The sequence below is a fragment of the Homo sapiens genome, chromosome 11 (assembly GCF_000001405.40).
Source record: "Homo sapiens chromosome 11, GRCh38.p14 Primary Assembly".
Taxonomy (NCBI): Eukaryota; Metazoa; Chordata; class Mammalia; order Primates; family Hominidae; genus Homo; species Homo sapiens.
In genome coordinates, this window is record NC_000011.10 from 120524547 (window position 1) to 120543066 (window position 18520).

The window sequence follows — 18520 nt, forward strand, 5'->3', positions numbered from 1 at the left end:
GGCACTTTACCCCCTCCTCGAACCCAGATGAGCCTGGCATCAATGGGTCAAGGGGGACTGTACTGGGGTGACTGGTAAGAGCAAAGGTGGCGTTTGGGCTGACAGCGCTAACTTCTGGATCAGGCTGTGGGCACTGCAGCTGCCATGAGTCAGGAGGAGGCTCTGGGAACATGGATTGGACCTGGGGTGCTCCTTCAGACATACCCAGTGTGAGCTAGGGGCTGCCTGCATCCTGGGGGCATTTATCATCACGCGGAGCTAGTTACGTGGCAGGGCACTGGGCAGGTCAGGATTGGGTACTGTGGTGGCAGAGAGCCCCAGGAAGAGGTCGCCTTTGTGTGGGGATGACAGAGGTCCCTGCGGTCTGCAGGGTGAGCTGAGGTCCTAGTCCACCTTCCGTCTTCTTGGCTTCTGGAGCCCATCAGGGGCTGCACCATGAATGCCCAGTGACTCTGGACCTCCCTGGTCAAGGCTGCTGGACAGGCTTCCCCTTCTTACCCTTCTCAGTGGATCCATGATGCCTGCAGTGCTGGGTCCAAAGAAGTCTGAGGCCAACTGTGGGCTCCCTGGGAAGGGGCACTGGACTCCCTGGGAAGGGGCGCTGGGAAGGGGCCCTGGGAAGGGGTGATATCTGACATGGCCACAGGGTACCATGGCTTTGTCAAGTCAGATTGAGTCTAGCCGTCTCATTTCACAAGTGAGGGCATTGAGGTTCAGAGAGGGAAGGAACTTGCCTGAGATCATGTGACTTGCAGAATCGAGGTTTGAAATGGGGTCCCCTGGCCGCTAGTGCCTTTGGTATCATACCTTTCATTAGACGGACTCACCAGGAGCCTCCCATCAAACCAGGGGAGCATGTGCCCTGCTCCCCACCTGACCTAATGCAGTGCCCATTCCAACCCCAGCTGCCAGCCAGCCCCATTCATACTGGGCAGGGCGTGGAAAGAGCTGTAGAAGCAGCCCTGTCCTCTGGGTGTTGTGACTCTGAGAGGCACATGGAGAAGAGACCAGCAGGGGTGTTACAGAAACCATAGCAGGCAGTCAACACACACTCATCAGACCCACACCAAGGTTAGCCGCGTGCTACGTCCCCGTGTCTAGGCTGGGGATGGGGGCAGAGTGGGACAAGCTGATGGTTCTCCTCTGAGCAATCCAAGGAAGCTTCCTGGAGGAAGTAGGGCTCTGGGGAGGAGCGGCCTTAACTGGGGCACAGGGAGAGGCTGGTTTGACGTGTGGGAAGTAGCCTGGTGTGGTGGGGGGTGACGGGAGGGCTTGGACAGCTGGAGTTAGAGTCCCTCTCTCTACTCACTGTGCGGCGTTGGACAAGTTTGTTCATGTATCTGAAGCCTCTGTTTGCTCAGCAATAAAATGGGGACAATGAAAAACCTAATCTCACAGGGTTGGGGAAGAGCAAATAAGATACCACCTGTGAAAGGGCTTCTTAAGTCTGAAGGTGTTTTCAGTACGTACTGTGTGATTTTATTTATATAAAGTTCAAAAACAGGCGAAGTAATCTATGGTAATAGAAGCTGGGATAGCAGTTAGCCTTGGCAGGGGGCCTGAGAAAGGGCCTCTAGAATACTGATAATGCTCTATTTCGTGATCTGAGAGCTAGTTCTGTGGACATTCCTTGAGCTGCACACTTATGTGCACTTCTCTTTCTTTTTTTCCTTTGAGGCAGGTCTCACTCTGTCGCCCAGGCTGGAGTGCGGTGGCATGATCTCCATCTCCCGGGCTCAGGGTGATTCTCCCACCCTGGCACCCGCCCTCTCACCCCAGTAGCTGAGTCTACAGGCATGTACCACCATGCCCCACTAATTTTTTATATTTTTTCTTTCTAGAGACAGTGTTTCTCTATGTTGCCCCGGCTTGAACTTCTGGGCTCAAGCGATCCTCCCACCTCGGCCTCTCAAAGCCCTGGGATTACAGGTGTGAGCCGCTGTGCCCAGCCATGTGCACTTTTCTGTGTAAACAGTATACATCAATTCAAAAAGTTTGTTTTTAGGCCGGGCACAGTGGCTCATGCCTGTAATCCTAGCATTTTGGGAGGATGAGGTTGGTGGATCACTTGAGGTCAGGCGTTCAAGACCGGCCTGACCAACATGGTGAAACCCCATCTCCCCTAAAAATACAAAATTAACCAGGTGTGGTGGCACATGCCTGTAATCCAAGCTATTTGGGAGGCTGAGGCAGGAGAATCACTTGAACCTGGAAGGCGGAGGTTGCAGTGAGCCAGAGGTTGCAGTGAGCCAAGATTGCACCATTGCACTCCAGCCTGTGCAGCAAGAGTGAAACACCATCTCAAAAAAAAGAAAAAAAAAGTTCGTTTTTAAAGTGCTTATCACAGTCAGGTTATAAATGGCTAAAGGGCGGTCACTTGACAGTGTCCAAGAGGAAACCTGGAATGATGTTAATAGAAATAGTGGTTGAACACTTTAGGCAGAAGAAACATTTTCTCATTTAAACCTCAACAACTCACATTTTACAAGTGGGGAAACTCAGTGAGGTTGCAGAAGTTGCCCAAAGTCACACAGCCAGCCCGTGGCAGAGGGTCTGACCAGAGCCAGCACCCAGTCCTGGGGAACCTGGAGGATGCAAAGGCAGGTGGGGTTGCCCTGATCCCGCCTCGGCTTGCCGGGGCTTTGGCTTCTGGAGCTGCGTCATCTTTGTGGCTCTGCCCCTGCTGGGGTCCTGCCAGGCCTCAGCTTTCATGGAATGTGGAGAGCAGCCTCAGCTCCCTGCGGCCCCAGGGTGGAGATGCTTCCAGAGTGGGAGGAAGCAGGGGCGGGAGCTGGACAGCATCTGTCTGCAGGGTCTGCTGGGTGGGGACCCCGGAGCAGATGGTGTTTCACTCAGTTAAAACCCCTCAGGGCAGACCCCTGCCGGTGAGAGAGGGAGCATGGCAATGCTTATCCCAGCAGAGGAGGGGAGCAGGGAGCCGCTGCAAGTTCCCTCCTGCCTTCCTGGAGCCCGTGCTGGGGATTTATCTCCTCCCAGAGGCCTAACTGCGCCCCAGACACTCGCACCTGCATCCTCCAGGGGCGGGCTGGGGGCTGGGAGGAAGACGGGCATTCAGGTGCTTTTGTTACCTTTGTGATGTGGCTGAGCCAGACAGCCTCGCTCACACTAAGCCACCCCTGGCGTGTGGCCTTGTCTGGTGAGAGAGAGGTGGCATTGTGCTTGCATTTATATGCAGCTGGCAGAGCAGATACAGCCTCATTGTTGTCCAAGGTTTCCAATCAGGTGGGGAAAAAGAGGGCCTGGTGGTCCCACTCACGGGTGGAGGAAGAGGCTTCTTTACCAGCGGAACCAGCCTCACCTCCTCTGGGAGGCCTGCTCTGGTTAACCCCTTCAGCTGCTTTATCCTGGCCCTCAGCAGGGACACATGCGTTGTGAATAGAGTGAGCTCATCAACAAACAAGTCCTTTTATTTTATTTTATTTTTTTGAGACAGGGTCTCACTCTATTGCCCAGTGACGGGATTTGGGCTCACTGCAGCCTCGATCTCCCGGGCTCAGCCGGTCCTCCCACCTCAGCCTTTTGAGTAGCTGGGACCACAGGCATGGGCCACAATGCTCAGCTATTTTTTATTTTTTATTTTTGTATTTTTTGTGCAGACGTGGTTTCACCATGTTGCCTAGGCTGTTCTTGAACTGCTGAGCTCAAGCAGTCTGCCTGCCTCAACCTCCCAAAGTGCTGGGACTACAGGTGCCCGCCACCACGCCCGGCTAATTTTTTGTATTCTTAATAGAGATGGGGTTTCACAGTGTTAGCCAGGATGGTCTTGATCTCCTGACCTCATGATCTGCCCGCCTTGGCCTCCCAAAGTGCTGGGATTACAGGCATGAGCCACCAAGCCCGACCCTATAATTTTTTTATATTAAGTCTGTCTGAAATATGTTGGTCCTGTCACCCCTGTTTGACTGGAGGCTGGCTGAGGGCAGGGACTATGGGGGACCCTTCTTTCCTCTGAGCCTGTCTTAGGGAACCCATCTGTATTAGTCTGTTTTCATGCTGCTGATAAAGACATATCAGAGACTGGGTAACTTATACAGGAAAAAGGGGTTAATGAAGTTACAGTTCCACGTGGCTGGGGAGGCCTCACAATCATGGCGGAAGGCAAAGAGGAGCAAGTCACATCTTACATGAATGGCAGCAGGCAAAGAGAGAGCTTGTGCAGGGAAACTGCCCCTCATAAAACCATCAGATCTTGTGAGACCCATGAGATCTCTCATGAGATGCTAGCATGAGAACAACACGGGAAAGACCTGCCTCCATGATTCAATGACCTCCCACCAGTTTCCTCCCACGACACATGGGAACTGTGGGAGTTGCAATTCAAGATGAGATTTGGGTGGGGGCACAGCCAAACCACATCACCATCTATTGAGCATGTGCCCATCTACAGCACTTTAGTTTCCCAGGGTAGCTTTGGCTCCCTGCCTCAGGACCTTTGCACATGCTGTTCACTCTGCCTGCAACTCCTCCTTCCACCTCCTCTCCTTCTCTTGCTTCACTACTCCTTATCCATTCCTCTTCCAGGAAGCCCTTTCCTGACGCCTCCCTGAGCCTGCATAACCCCCCACCCCGACCCTCATGTGCTCTTGCAGCCCCAACCCTCGTTCCCTTTGGAGCACTCCCACCTTGCATTGTAACCTACAACTTACATTGTAGCACTGAGCTGTGGGAGGCCAGGCATCAAGTCACCACATCCACTTCTGTGCCACACTTTAACACAGTGTCTGGCTTACAGGAGGATCTTGCCAAATATTTGTTGAAAGAAGCAAAGCGATCGAGCACCAAAGAGAGGAGCAAGCCCAGCCGCTGTGCCCATCGACATTAGAGGGATTGCCCTTGGCTGTGACCTCCTCCACCTTAGTCTGAGCCCCTAGCAGTTACTACAGGGACGAGCCTAGAGCCCAGCCTGGGCACCAGTGACCACATCTGTTTTGCACAGCGCTGGGTTCCTGACATCTGCACAGAGATGCAGCCTAATAGTGTCTCTTAGATGTCCTTGGATAGTCACACATGTAAGTTCCCTGTCGGGAGTGGTGGGGGAAGTGGGAAAAGTGCTGTCTGTCACTTATCCTTCTGTGAAACAAGGTGGAGATGATTTCAATGTATCCCTTGACTCCTGATAGGGAGTAGCCTCTCTCGCAACCTGCCTTTCCCACCTCAACCACCATCCCCGCTGTGTGCAAGTACACTTGCTTTTAGGTGCTTTCACATCCAGCATCTCATTTAATCTCTCCAACAAAGGTGCTTTCACATCCAGCATCTCATTTAATCTCTCCAGCAACCCTGGGAGGCAGCTGCTGTTGACCTGTTTTATAGATGAGGAGACAGAAGTTCAGAGTGGTTAAACTGGCATGCCCCGAGTCACACAGCTGGTAAGCAGTAGAGCTAGGATCCCGTTCTCCTTTTTCTAGCATTACAGCTCCACTTGCCCTTCCTTCCTGGTGGCTCAGTGGCCTGCTTAGGAGTAAGGGTGCCCCAAGTGTGAGTCCTATGAGGCCCCATGTTCTTGCTTAATGCCTGAGAGTCCCTGACCTTGGAAATGCCTGTGTGCCAACCACAAGGTGCGGGTGTGGAGAAACGTCTGCCTTTGACAAATAGCCCTGTGGTCCCAGGACATGTAGGGCTAATTCAAGTGCAAACAGTGTATTAGTATTTATTACTCATGCTCCACTGCTAATAAAATTTGAGTTTAAAAAATAATGGTGAGCAAATGAATCGGTCGATGGCCTGTGGGGAGAGGCTCCAGGGGAAGGATATTTCATGGAGAAGAGTGACAGGAGCCCAAGCTATTGCAGGCTCTAGAAGATGGGTCCTTGCTGGGGTGTGGGTGGGGGTAGGGGGACTTATCCTGGGGGCAGCTCTGCACTCTGGTCCAGTTTGGTGAGTCGTTAGTCTGCACAGTAAAATTTGTCAGAAAGCACATTTGCCAACAGAGGCAGCTTCTCCAGGCTGAGGAGGTGGCTGTTGGCTGGGTGAATAGCTTTCAAATATCTATTTCAGTCATCTGTGCTTAAAATCCTTAATTTGGGAAGCCATTTCCTGCAAAGTCCCAAACCTGGGTTCCAGACGGAAGCCTCTGTCTTCGACAACCGCGTTACAGGGCGGACTGGGTTCTGCCACGCAGGGCTGAGAATGGGGTTCAGAGGCCTAAGAAGGTTCTAAGTCTCTGAAAAACCAAGGGGCCTGCTACAGGTTCCGTGATGTAGGAAGACAGAGATGGCCCTGGGGTGTGGAGGGGATTCATTCAGAGCTGGATGGCATTTTGGGATGAGGAGAACTCTGATTGTTAGACCCCGCTTCCCTACAGTGGACGGCACCTGTGTCCTACTGATGTCTCTGGAGCATCATCGGCTGGAGAAAATGCCGGTTCACAAAAAGGAGATCTGCTACGGTGTGACTTTGATCAAGTCATTTTACTTCTTTGGACTTAGTTTCCTCTCTGCAGAGTGGGGGTGATGAGTCCTTCCTGGTTCCCATCATAGGCTCAGGAGCGGAAGGATGGAGCTGTCTAAGCAGAAGGGTGTGACAGCCCTTTAGATATTTGGAGACAGCTCTCTTGCTTTCCTTGAGAGAGTGCTTTGCTTAAGACTAGACTTTTGGAGGGCTTAGAAAATGTGGGTGGATTTGCGATTCTTATGTGTAAATGCTACCCTACAACCTCTTTCATAATTCATCCATCAAGGCCAGAAAGATCAAGAGTGAAACTCAGAGCTTGTTGTGCCTGGTTCATGCATGTTTGTTTATGGAAGGAGAAATGACATTTTCCTTCCCCACATCCTCCTTTCATGTCGTCTGCCCCTGCCACAGGCACCTGCTCCATAGCGCTGCCCAAATAATCATTTAGACACCAGGAGTTTCCAATGCTCTGTACATGTGCTCTCCAGTGCTTACACCAGCCTTGGGGTGGGTGCCAGGATCATCCCATATTACTGGATCAGGAAACTGAGACTGGTGCAGTGAGGGGTCTGCCCAAGGTCATGGTTACAGCTGAACTCTGCCTGTTTCTTTTTTCTTTTTCTTTTTTTTTTTGAGACTGAGTCTTGCTCTGTTGCTCAGGCTGGAGTGCAGTGGCGCAGTCTCGGCTCACTGGAACCTCTGCCTCCCAGGTTCAAGCAATTCTCTTGCCTCAGCCTCCCGAGTAGCTGGTACTACAGGTGCATGTCACCATGCCCAGCTAATTTTTGTATTTTTAGTAGAGACGGGTTTTCACCATGTTGGCCAGGCTGGTCTCGGACTCCTGACCTCAGATGATCCACCCGCCTTGGTCTCCTAAGGTGCTGGGATTACAGGTGTGAGCCACCGTGCCCAGCCTGCCTGTTTCTCTTAGCACCTTGCAACCTCATGGTTGTGGCCCAAGGATGTCATACCAGTGACCTTTGGATGTCCCTGTGGAGCAGCAGATGGCAACCCTTCTTCTCCCCTTTACTCCCAAATGGAGACCCTCCCCCTGCTTCCACCTCTGGATGTGGGGCAGGTGGAAGGTCTCCATTCAGGAGCGCACCTGGCAGGTGCACGATTGAACACGGAGCAAGACAGCCACAGCTGGAGCCGGGTACCTGTGGCCACTCAGGCCCTGGGCTGCTGGCACAAGGGTGATTGCATGGTCCCGATTTGACCTCCTGAGTCCTTGGTTGCTCCTCCCTAGCCCCCAAAGTGACCTGGACTCGCTGCTTTGAACATCCATCCCCCAGCTCCATGCTAAGCTCTCTGCAGCCCTGTGGGCCCTACCCCGCCCCCAGCTTCCTTTGATCCGGCTGCCCTTGTGCCCGGGGGTCCGCCCTGGGTGTGGACCCAGGAGTCGGGTGGCCCTGTGGTATTGTCAGGGAATGTCCCAACAGCTTAGAGGCATTGAATCAAAGTCCTCTCAGAGGGGGAGAGGGTATTGTTTAGACGTTTTGTGTAAATTAATAATATTGTAACTGTTAATTGAATGTCCATTGATTGCCTGTCAGAGGTTTGATTTAATCTGTCCTCCTCCCTCTGAGCCGGCTGGCTGCTTAAATAGTTTGCTCGCTTTGCCTTGTTTTTCTTGCTCTAGTGTGGACTCTTTCCCCTACCCCGCAAACCTTGGTTTCATTTCGCTGGCTTCATAATTAGCATCTTCTGCTTTCTGGCACTGGCCTTGGCCTTCTTGCAGTTACTAGTCCCTCCCAAGTGGATTCCTGTGATTCATCCCTCAACCAGAGTTTTCTGAAGTATCTGGAGACTCGGGACAAAGACAGTCGGCCTGTCTTTGTCCCCTTTCTTTTGGGGTTTTAGATGCTTTGGGCTTCTCCTTGGAAGGGAGTGGGAAGGGCAGTGCCTGGAGACTTAGGGGATGAGCCCGGTAGGGCTGCTGGCTTCATTCACTCATTCATCCGTCTATTCACCAGGCCCTGTGTTCAGCACTAAGGGGACACATTCCTGAGTTCAGTACTTAGTGGTGGAGACAGAGAAGTAAACAGATGATGCAATGCGGTGTGATGTGCCAAGGTGGAGGCCAATGTAGGGGGGCGCAGAGACATGGAAGAAAACGGTAAAATCAGATGTGGCAGCATGGAAGGCTTCCTGGAGGAGGAGTAACCTGCACTGCAGTTGGAACTGCATTTCAATAAACAAGGAGGAATTAGTCTGGCAAAGGAAAGGACAAGAGCCTCCTAGCAGAGGGAAAAGCACATGTCACAGCTGGGTCAGAGGGGACTTCTAGAGTGAGAGATGGCAGAGAATAAGGTAAGGGTTAATAATATCTACAGAATGATAATATACTGCACACTCACTAAGCATTGGGCAGAGTTCTGAGGGCTTTCCTTGTATTATCTAGCTTAGTCCTTATAACAACCCTGCATACAGGTACTGCTAGCGCCCCTTTTAATAGCTGAGCCTAGAGATATGGGCACAGGCAGTCTGATTCAGGGGTGCTGGCTCTCCCATTGCCCCTGCTGCCTCACTGCTGCTGTCTGGCCCAAGGATGTTACACCAGGGTTGGGTCATTGGGGCATCTGCAGAGCTGGATTATGGAGGGTCTTATGTGTACGTTCAAAAGTTTTAACTTGGCTGGGTGTGGTGGCTCACACCTGTAATCCCAGCACTTTGGGAGGCCAAGGTGAGTGGATCACTTGAGGCTAGGAGTTCGAGACCAGCCTGGCCAACATGGTGAAACCCTGTCTCTACAAAAAATGCAAAACTTACCCGGGTGTGGTAGTGCGTGCCTGTAATCCCAGCTACTTGGGAGGCTAAGGCAGAGAATTGCTTGAATCCAGGAGGCAGAGGTTGCAATGAGCCAAGATTGCCCCACTGCACTCCAGCCTGGGTGACAGAGCAAGACTGTGTCTCAAAACAAAAACAAAAACAAAAACATTTTAACTTTATTCGGAAAGCAACTGAAAGCCACTGAAAAATTTTAAACAGAAATAGCTTGACCAGATTTATTTTCAAAAATAAAAATAATCACTCTGGCTGTAATGTGGAGGATGGTGGCCCTGACACAGGCTGGAGGCACGAAGGCACCTGCTGAGCCTGGCAGTGATCCTGCCAAAAGAGCCAGGCACCGGGGTACAGAGGGGAGTGTGGGCCCAGAAGCACAAAGGAGGTAGAATCGCAGGACACCTAGGGGCTGGTGGATGTGGGTGGTGGGTGGTGGGTGGAAGGCAGGTGTTTACGTGAGGCTCAGATTCTTCATTCGGGGCAGTTTGGAGTCAATTACCAAGACACTGGAGATGGGAGGACCAGATTGCAGAAGAAGGTGACGGATTCAGTTCCATTTTAGACTGGTTGGCTTTGAAGTGACTGAGGGATATCTATGTGGAATTGAGTGCACACACCCAGAGCCCAGGATAGAGACAAGTGGTGGGGCTGGGGATTTTGAAATTAGGGCAAGTAGGGGGCACAGGGGCTTTAATGAGCTCCCCTCGAAAGAATGTTTAACGCGACCAAAGAGAAGCTGATGACGGAGCGCTGAGAACCGTGCACGCTGGGGCCTGAGTCCACAAAAGAGATCAGGAGAAACAGCCACGGGTAGCACAGCCAGGAGAGAGGTTGCTCAGAAACCCAGGTAGAATGGGGGATAGTCCATGGTGGAAAACGCTGTAGTAAGTACAGTAAGAGTCATACAGTGTCTAGTGGATTTGGCCACTGGGAGGTCATTGGTGCTCTTCCTGGGTGTGGGAAGGAGGTGACTGCCATAGCAGAAGAGCATTGGACAGGTCCAGAGGGGACATGGGGACAGGCAGATGGCCTCTGCAGCCCAGCTGAGGAGAGACCAGGAAAACCCCTGGGAGCAGAGGCAGAGGTTTGAGGGAGCACTTCCCAATGGGGGACACTCAGCAGGGATGAAGAGGTTAGGGTGACCAACCATCCTGGTTTGCCCAGCTCTGCGGAACTTCCTGAGATACGAGACTTCAGTGCTAAACCCAGGATGATCCCGGGCAAACCTGATGGTTGGTTGCCCTAGGAGAGTTTACTCCCTGCAGTAAGCTGGCCGGTATTCAACAGCGGGCTCTCCTGGGGGAAGCCCTGACTTGTAGGGTTTGCTGATTTCCACGGTGTAAATACCATGGTCAATTTTAAGTTGCCAACGTGATGTCACTAAATGCGGAGCTGGGAAGAGGTGTGTACGGCCCACTCTTGTGAGCCTGTCTGAGCAGGCTCCAGCACACCCGGGAGAGAGCCTGGTGGGTGGCAGATGGGGGTCCTGAGGAGGTGGGGGATCCAGGGAAGAACCTCCTGGGACCAGAGGGAAGAGGGAAGGGGGGTGCAGATCTTTGCAGGGAGGGTTGGGGAGGGCTTGGGGGCCTTGGTGGTCTCAAGGAAGGAAGAGGGGAGTGTGAAGGGGGAGGTAAGAGGGAGGGAGGGAAGGAGGGAAGAAGGAGTTTGGAAAAGCCTGTAAAAGGAGGGGGTAGGGAGCAGGCCGGGACCCCCACCCAGGATCCTGGAGCAGTGCTGAGGGCAGGGAGGTGACACTGTCCAGGCACCACACTTGTGGAACAGCCTAGAAGTGGGCATGTAGGAGGGAAGGAGCTGGCTAGGCAGGGTGTGTAGGGCAAGGTCACTAAAGGACAAAGGAGCAGGACAGCTCGGGATCCCGGTTCTACATCCCCCACCTCACAGGACTGTAGCGAGGATTAAATGAGTTAAAATGCATGAAACACTTACTACCTGAGCACGGGCAGTGGGCTAGCACATTAGTATTAGTATAGCAGCAACTGAGTGAACGTTGCATTTTTTATGTGTGTATCTGTGCACATTTGCATTGCTGCACCTATTCCTACCTTGCTCCCATGTAACATGCAGTCCTTAAGATATGAAAGTGACACTGTGCCTGCCTTCAGTCAGTAGGCATCACTGTACCTTTTCCAGGGTAGGTATACACGTGCATGAATACAGTCCCAACACGCTTCACTGGTTCCTCCTGGCCATCTCGCTGCATGTATCTCATGCTGGGCTCAAGCCAGGGGTGGAAAAAGACGAGAAGGTAGACACAGGTGAACTCTCATGTCAGGCTTAGGGGAGCAGTGGAAGATTATAAAGCCATCCTTGAAGTATTGTGTGTAGCACTAAGAAGGTGAGAGGTGCCAAAAATCAAGTCAGGCAGATGTTTTCACAAAGAACAGAAAGGTAGATTAAAAAGTATTCTAAAGCAATAAGTGTTAGGCTATTTTCCTGCAACAATTCGAAAGAGTGTATGAAGCAGATGGTCCTGCAGCTCTGAGAACACAAAAGAGGAGCTCGCGGGGCTGGCAGCAGTTCCTGAAGGACAAGTTGGGCCCAAACCACCTCTTTTTCTCTGTTTCAAAAGCTTTCCGAGTCTATGTGTCTTAGCTGGGGGGTGTCTTAATTTCAGCGAGCCTTAAGCCAATGCCTGATGGTGTCTGTACAGAAAAGGTGAAAAGCTGTACATCGCCCTGGGCTGCAGACAGGTGGATGCGGAGCTGGTTGAACAATTGGACCTGGAACATTGATTACAGATTGGGGGGGCCTGGAGAGAGGTCACATTTATCTGTTTATTTATTCAGGTACTCGCTTAGTCACGTGACAGATATTAACCAAACCCTTCCTTTGGGTCTCTGGTGCCAGAGGGTGTCGTCCTTGGGCCTGTTCTGGTTGACGTATGTATTGATGGCTCAGGTGAGGAGGGAGAAGGTGGATTATCCAATTGATATGAGGCTCGGCAGGGAAAGAAGCTACCCTACCGGATGAGTGGGGAGTGATCAATAGGAAGAACAATGGACCCACACCAACAAGATGGAATTAACCACCAGCAAAGGAAGAGTCCTGCATCTAGAGTTCTAAAAAGTCAATTACGTAAACAGAGCGGGGGAGGCCTGATTGGCAGAGGACTTGGAGGCAGGCTGACCACCAGCTCTGCCCGGCCCAGACGCCTGCTGAGGAGGCGGCCAGGGGTTGAGGCCTAGGGCGTGCTCCCCATGCTCCACCCTGTGAGCATGTGCTCTGGGTGCACTGTGCCCAGTGCGTAGGGCCTCACTCTGAGACACGTTGATAAAGTCCACAGTTCTTTCGGAAGAGAGCTGGCAAGAGGGCAAGGGAGCCGAGACCTGTTTCCTGGGAGGTGTCCTCAAAAGACAGAGGACTCAGGGTAACTGATTCAAAGACTCCGAGGGCCACAGGAGAGCCTAGCTTATTTATGTTGCTGTTCCTTACTCTTTGCCTTCAACTAGTGGACATGCAGGATCCCTTGTCTCTTCCATGGTTGCATCGTCCTCTCTTGACCTGGTCCACAGGTTCTTTAGGAATGAGAGATTGGGAAGCATGAGAGCCTTGGGGTTGTGGTCAGAGGCGGAAACTCAGAGACGGAGATATTGGAACTCTGCAGAGGGCCTCAGCCTCTTAGGAAGCTTCAAAATCAAATCTACCATCCTTAATAGGGATGTCTCCTTCTCTTTATTGGGCATGAACAGAAGGCAGATAGATGGGTGTGTGCAAATGAGATCTCTGGGATCTTGCCAGGCAGCTTCTCTACTGCCTGGGGGAGTCCTACCTGGATGCCCACAGTGAAGGAAGCAAACACACATGTCTCCTGGAAGCTCCCTGAAACCCTGAGGTGGAATTAATCATTCCTTCTTAGGCCTGCAGATGCTCTGCACCCGCCTATGTAGCGGGCGATCATGGTGCACTGTGGACGGGCACGCGCCTTCCTCCTCGCCGCGCTGTGCAGCTTCCTTTACCTACAGCTTCAGTCTTGGCCCAGTGCCACCTGCAAAGTAGATGCTCAGTAATGAATGAGGGGATCTGTTGTAGAATAAATATATGTTCTTCTGTGAACAGGTTGGAACACATACTTGTTTGTTCTTAAAAAAAAAAAAAAGAAACCAACAAACAAACCTTGAGTGAGTTTTCCTTGTGGAGAGGATAGACCTAGAGTGGAGGGCAGGGAAGTGTCTCTATCCTATGACAAGAAAAACCACATGGCAAGTCCGTGATGTATGGCCATGGCCAAGGTTTAAATAAAAATCTTTTCTTAGTTATTTAGCCTTAATAAACAAAAGTGTGTCACAGCCACAGACTTTCTTATATTGCACTTTCTAACGAGGACAGAAGTCTTTCCTTAGGAATACGAAGATGCTTGCTTTCCGGCCTGACCTGCTCACGGCCTCTGGAGCGGCACGCATCCCATCCCTCCCGCTGTGTGCTTGTCCCCAGGACGAGGCTGCTTTCCAAGACAGGGCCGCGCATCACTTGGGCGTCAGGGCAGTGGGAGAGGACCTGTTTCTGGAGATGGCACCTCCTCCTGGGGAAGAAAGAGGGGAGAACAGTAGTTGACTACAGGTGGGGAACTTCAGGGAACTCAAAAATGTCCAGGCGACCCCCAACCCCTGCTCCACCAAAGTGTCTGATTCCCTCCCCAGGGGGTGTACATTGTAAAAGGCCTCCTCTCCCAGCACAGGCACATCCAGCCATTCCAAATCCTTGAGACTTAACATTCCAAGCAGATTTCCCTTTCCTTTCTCCGTGAGTTAGAATCAATTTTCACATTAGTAATGAAATTGCATGTATTGCATTAGCCATTATCATTGGCTTCCTGGCCGCTTACGGCTGGCTGGGCAGACTGCCTCGGGTCCCTTCTCTGCCTGAAGTGCAGAGACGGGCCATGTTCTCAGGGTTGCTGCTGGTCTGAGATCTTGAAACTGGCAGCCCTCCTGGGTAACTACCTATCTGTCCTCAGAGGAGGAAGAGGTCAGGAAAAGGAAAGGGCTGGGTTTCTGCATTGGCAAACCAATGCAACATATTGACAAGGAAGTCTGTAGGGTGACTCTGCTGATGCCAGGCTGGGGGCTCAGGGCTCTAACTGTATTTCAGGAATGACTGGCATCTTCCCAAGGGAAGTGCCAGAGAGAAGGCCTAGTGTCCTTGCTGAGCCAGGGACCAGATTAGACATTTCTCCTCTCTTCACTCTCCAGGTTGGGAAATTCTGTATGAGAGAAGAAAAGTGGTGCTGACCACCTGCCCCCAAAGCTTCTTGGGTGTACCCAAGGCCAGGGCCACCTCCAAAGCAAGTGAGAGGCACCCAGCCGAGACTGCAGCTGGGGGGAACTCTCTAAGATTTCGGAGGCAGCACAGGGAACACTCTATTAGGGGAAGGTACCCCTCAAAGGGACCAGCTTGCTCCCTGTGGGAGGAGAGGACAGCCTCTTTGGTGATGCTGGGTGGTTTTGGGGGGCCTGTGGGACAGTCCTGGGCCTGTTACCCAACTTGTGTTTCCTCTGTCCTCAAGAGCTTCTGAAGAACAGGCCTGGCGAAGAACAGGTCTGGCAAATCCCAGGGCAGACCCCCGAGGGTGAGCCGGGAGCATCTTTAACTACAAATGATAACGATCCCTTATGTTCGTATCCACTTCGTAATAGGTCACAAAAGGAACCACTTGTGCGAACATGATCTTATTTGCTTTTCACAACCACATGATGAAAATAAGCACTATTTTCCCCTTTGCAGATGGACTCCCAAGTTCAGTGCTCTTCCCAGGACACACAGCTGCCCCATGTGGCCATCGGCTGTGAAGGAAGCTGGCCAGGGAGTTAATTAGTATTTTAGGTTCAACAAATCTTATTTGATCTGGAGTTTAATTTGAATGGCCATCAGCAAAGTTATTGCCATTACCAATATGTCTTTAAACTGGTTAAATATTTGAAGCCATGTCAGCATCTCCCAGCTGAACAGAGTCACCAAACACACAAGCAAAACGCCTCCATTGGGGGCTGGACGGTGGGTTTCTGCAAAGAAAATGTGTGCCAGGATGGCTTAATGGAGCTCCTGGAGGGCTAAATAGGCAGCCAGATAAAGGGAAACAGCAGCTATAATCTGTTTGGCTTTCAAAGGCCTTTTCAAGGTTACCCACCAAATGCAATGTTAAAATAATTGAGTTATCACGGGGCTGGGGCTAGGACTTTGTCACAGTGGAGAAGCTGTTTGTGACAGGCAGCGAATCGTGGGAGTTATTGGACCAAGAAGGGAGTGTTTCCTGGGCTGGGGCTGGGCCTAGGTTTATTGAGCATGTATATAAATGACAAGAAAGGTGCTCACAAGGTGACTGCCAGGTTTGCAGGAGGCTCTTCCAGGTCTCTAGGGAGACACCATAGAAAGGCTTCACAGTCCTGGGCAAGCAGCCAGGTAAGAGGAGGGCAGCTTGGATGTGGGAAAGTGCATGGAGATGCTTTTAGGGTTTAATCATTCAAACCACAGAGCGCAGGGTCTGAGCCATCTGACAGGTCTGGCAAAGGGACAGGGGCATATTACCAGGGTGTCTTCCTTAGGATCCTCATGGGAGCTTAAAACTTGGGGCTCGGCTGGGCGTGGCGGCTCATGCCTGTAATCCCAGCACTTTGGGAGGCTGAGGGGGGCGAATCACTTGAGGTCAGGAGTTCGAGACCAGCCTGGCCAACATGGCAAAACCCTGTCTGTACTACAAAATTAGCCGGGCATGGTGGTGCGCACCTGTAATCCCAGCTACTTGGGAGGCTGAGGCAGGAGAATCGCTTGAACCCAGGAGATGGAGGTTGCAGTGAGCAGAGATCGTGCCACTGCGCCCCAGTCTAGGCAACAGAGTGAGACTCCATCTCAAAAAATATATAAATAAATAAAATAAAAAATAAAAAACAAACAACAAAAAAATGAGGCTCACTAACACCCAGGGGATCATTGGTAGAGTTGAGGGGTGGGAAGCTTCCTGAGTTATATGCAAAGATGTGAGTACAGTATAGGCATTTTTGGGTACAAGGACAATAGCTTGCATCAGATTTTCAAAGAGGACTTTGGACTCAAAAAATATCAAGAACAGCCAGGCACGGTGGCTCATGCCTGTAATCCCAGCACTTTGGGAAGCTGAGGTGGGAGGATCTCTTGAGCCTGGGAGTTGAAGAGCTGTGATCACAAATCATTGCATTCCAGCCTGGGTGAGAGTGAGACCCGGTCTCTTAAAAACAAAACAAAGAACAGCTGTTTGTCTGCTACACGTGGCCCTCTCCAACCTGCCCCAGCCTCTCTCTCCAGCATATTTTTACCACATACTGCCCTGCAGCCTGGGGCCCTGCCCCTGGACTGAGGCGCAGCTACCGGAATGTGCTGTGCTAGTTCACACATCTGGGCCCTTGCCGGTGCAGCTCTGTCTTTACCTCCTTACCCACCTGCTGAACTCCTGCTCATCCTCTAAGACCCAGCTCAAGTCTTTGCTGATCCATCCCCTCAGAGCAGAGCTGATTGACCCCTCCTTTGAGCCAGCATCACACTTTGAACAGTTATATTGGAGCACTTATCACGGTGTGTTGAAACTATTTATTCCTGTGTCAGTTTCGCCCAGAAGATTAGGTACTTCTTAAGGGCAGGAGCTGTCCTATCTATTTCTGAGTAAGCCTTTTGAGTAAGTCTTCAATAACATTTGTCAGTTGACCTGGATAAGCTGTTGCAACCAAAAAGGCCATAACAGGTAGGTGTCAGGAAAAATACTCTTTTTTTTTTTCTGAGGTAGCGCCTTGCTCTGTCGTCCAGGGTGGAGTGCAGTGGTGTGACCATGGCTCACTGCAGCCTCGACCTCCTGGGCTCAAGTGATCTCTCATCTCAGCCTTTCAAGTAGCTGGGACTACAGGTGTGCCATCACGCCTGGCTAATTTTAGTATTTTTTTTGTAGAGACAGGGTTTTGCCATGTTGCTTAGGCTGGTCTTGAACAGGCTTAAGCAATCTGCCTGCCTTGATTTCCCAAAGTGTTGAGATTACAGGCATGAGCCACTGCGCCTGGCCAAAAAAATACCCTTGAGAAGATAAACGGAAAGGTATCCTATATTTTGGAAGATATCCCATGGATTAGAAGAATTAATATTGTCAAAATGTCTATACTACTCAAAGTGATTTACAGATTTAATGTAATCCATATCAAAATTCCAAAGGCATTTGTTTTTACAGAAAGAGAAAAAAAAACCCTAAAATTCATATGGAGCCATAAAATACCTCAAATAGCCAAAACAGTCTTAAACAAAGTTGGAGACATCATACTTCCTGATTTCAAACTATATTACAAAGCTGTAGTAATTAAAACAATATGGTACTGGCATAAAAACACACATAGACCAATGGAACAGAATAGAGAGCCCAGAAATAAATCCACACATATGTGGTCAACTAATCTTCATCAGAGGCACAAGAATACACAGTGAAGAAGGACAGTCTCTTCAATAAATGGTGTGGGGAAAACTGGATATTCACATGCAAAAGAATGAAATTGGACCTATATCTTATGCCATACCTAAAAATTAACTGAAAATGGATTAATGACTTAAACATAATACCTGAAATCATAAAAATCCTAAAAGAAAACATAGGGAAAATGGTCCTTCACATTAGTCTTGCCAGTGATTTTTTGGGTATGATGCCAAAAGCATATGCACCAAAAGCAAAAATAAACAAGTGGAACTACATCAAACAAGAAAGCTTCTGCACAGCCAAGGGAACAATCAACAAAATGAAAAGGCAACGTATGTCATGGGAGAAAATATTTGCAAGCCATATATTTGATAAGGGATTAACATCCAAAATATATAAGGAACTCCTACAACTTCACAGCAAAATAACAACCCAATTAAAAAATGGGCAGAGGATCTGAATAGACATTTCTCCAAAGACACATAAATAACCAACAGGTATATGAAGAGATGCTCAACATTGCTAATCACCAGGGAAACACACATGAAAACCACAATGAGATGACATTTCACAAGAGTTAGGATGGCCATAATAAAAAAAGACAGAAGATAACAAATACTGGTGAGGATGTGGAGAAAAGAAGACCTTTTTATGGCTGCTTTTCAGCAAAGGACTGTAAAGAGGAAACTGAAGACCTAGGGGAAGGGGAAACTGAGGCATGTTGAGCACAGCCTAGGCTCCCAGCATATGCTTTTTATGGTCCATTGTTACAACAACCCTGTGCTGCAGGGTTCCTGCTTTCTCTAATTTGTGAATGGGGAAACTGAGGCAGGGAGCTTGCACAGCTGGCTGAAAGCCTCATAGCTGGTACAAGTGTAC

The 18520-nt window shown here is 50.5% G+C and overlaps 1 protein-coding gene across 16 annotated transcripts in view, besides 1 other annotated feature; it reads left to right on the plus strand.

The window, feature by feature from the left end:
- The window catches only part of GRIK4 (glutamate ionotropic receptor kainate type subunit 4), a 477159-nt gene that overhangs the window by 12799 nt on the left and 445840 nt on the right, over positions 1-18520 (plus strand). The window lies entirely within an intron of this gene.
- Positions 7166-7702: an enhancer, noted in NCBI's record as "H3K4me1 hESC enhancer chr11:120402421-120402957 (GRCh37/hg19 assembly coordinates)". NCBI's record gives its function as "activates a minimal SCP1, AML or CMV promoter by ChIP-STARR-seq in naive H9 embryonic stem cells {active_cell/tissue: H9 hESC(naive)}" and the evidence as "EXISTENCE:reporter gene assay evidence [ECO:0000049][PMID:30033119]".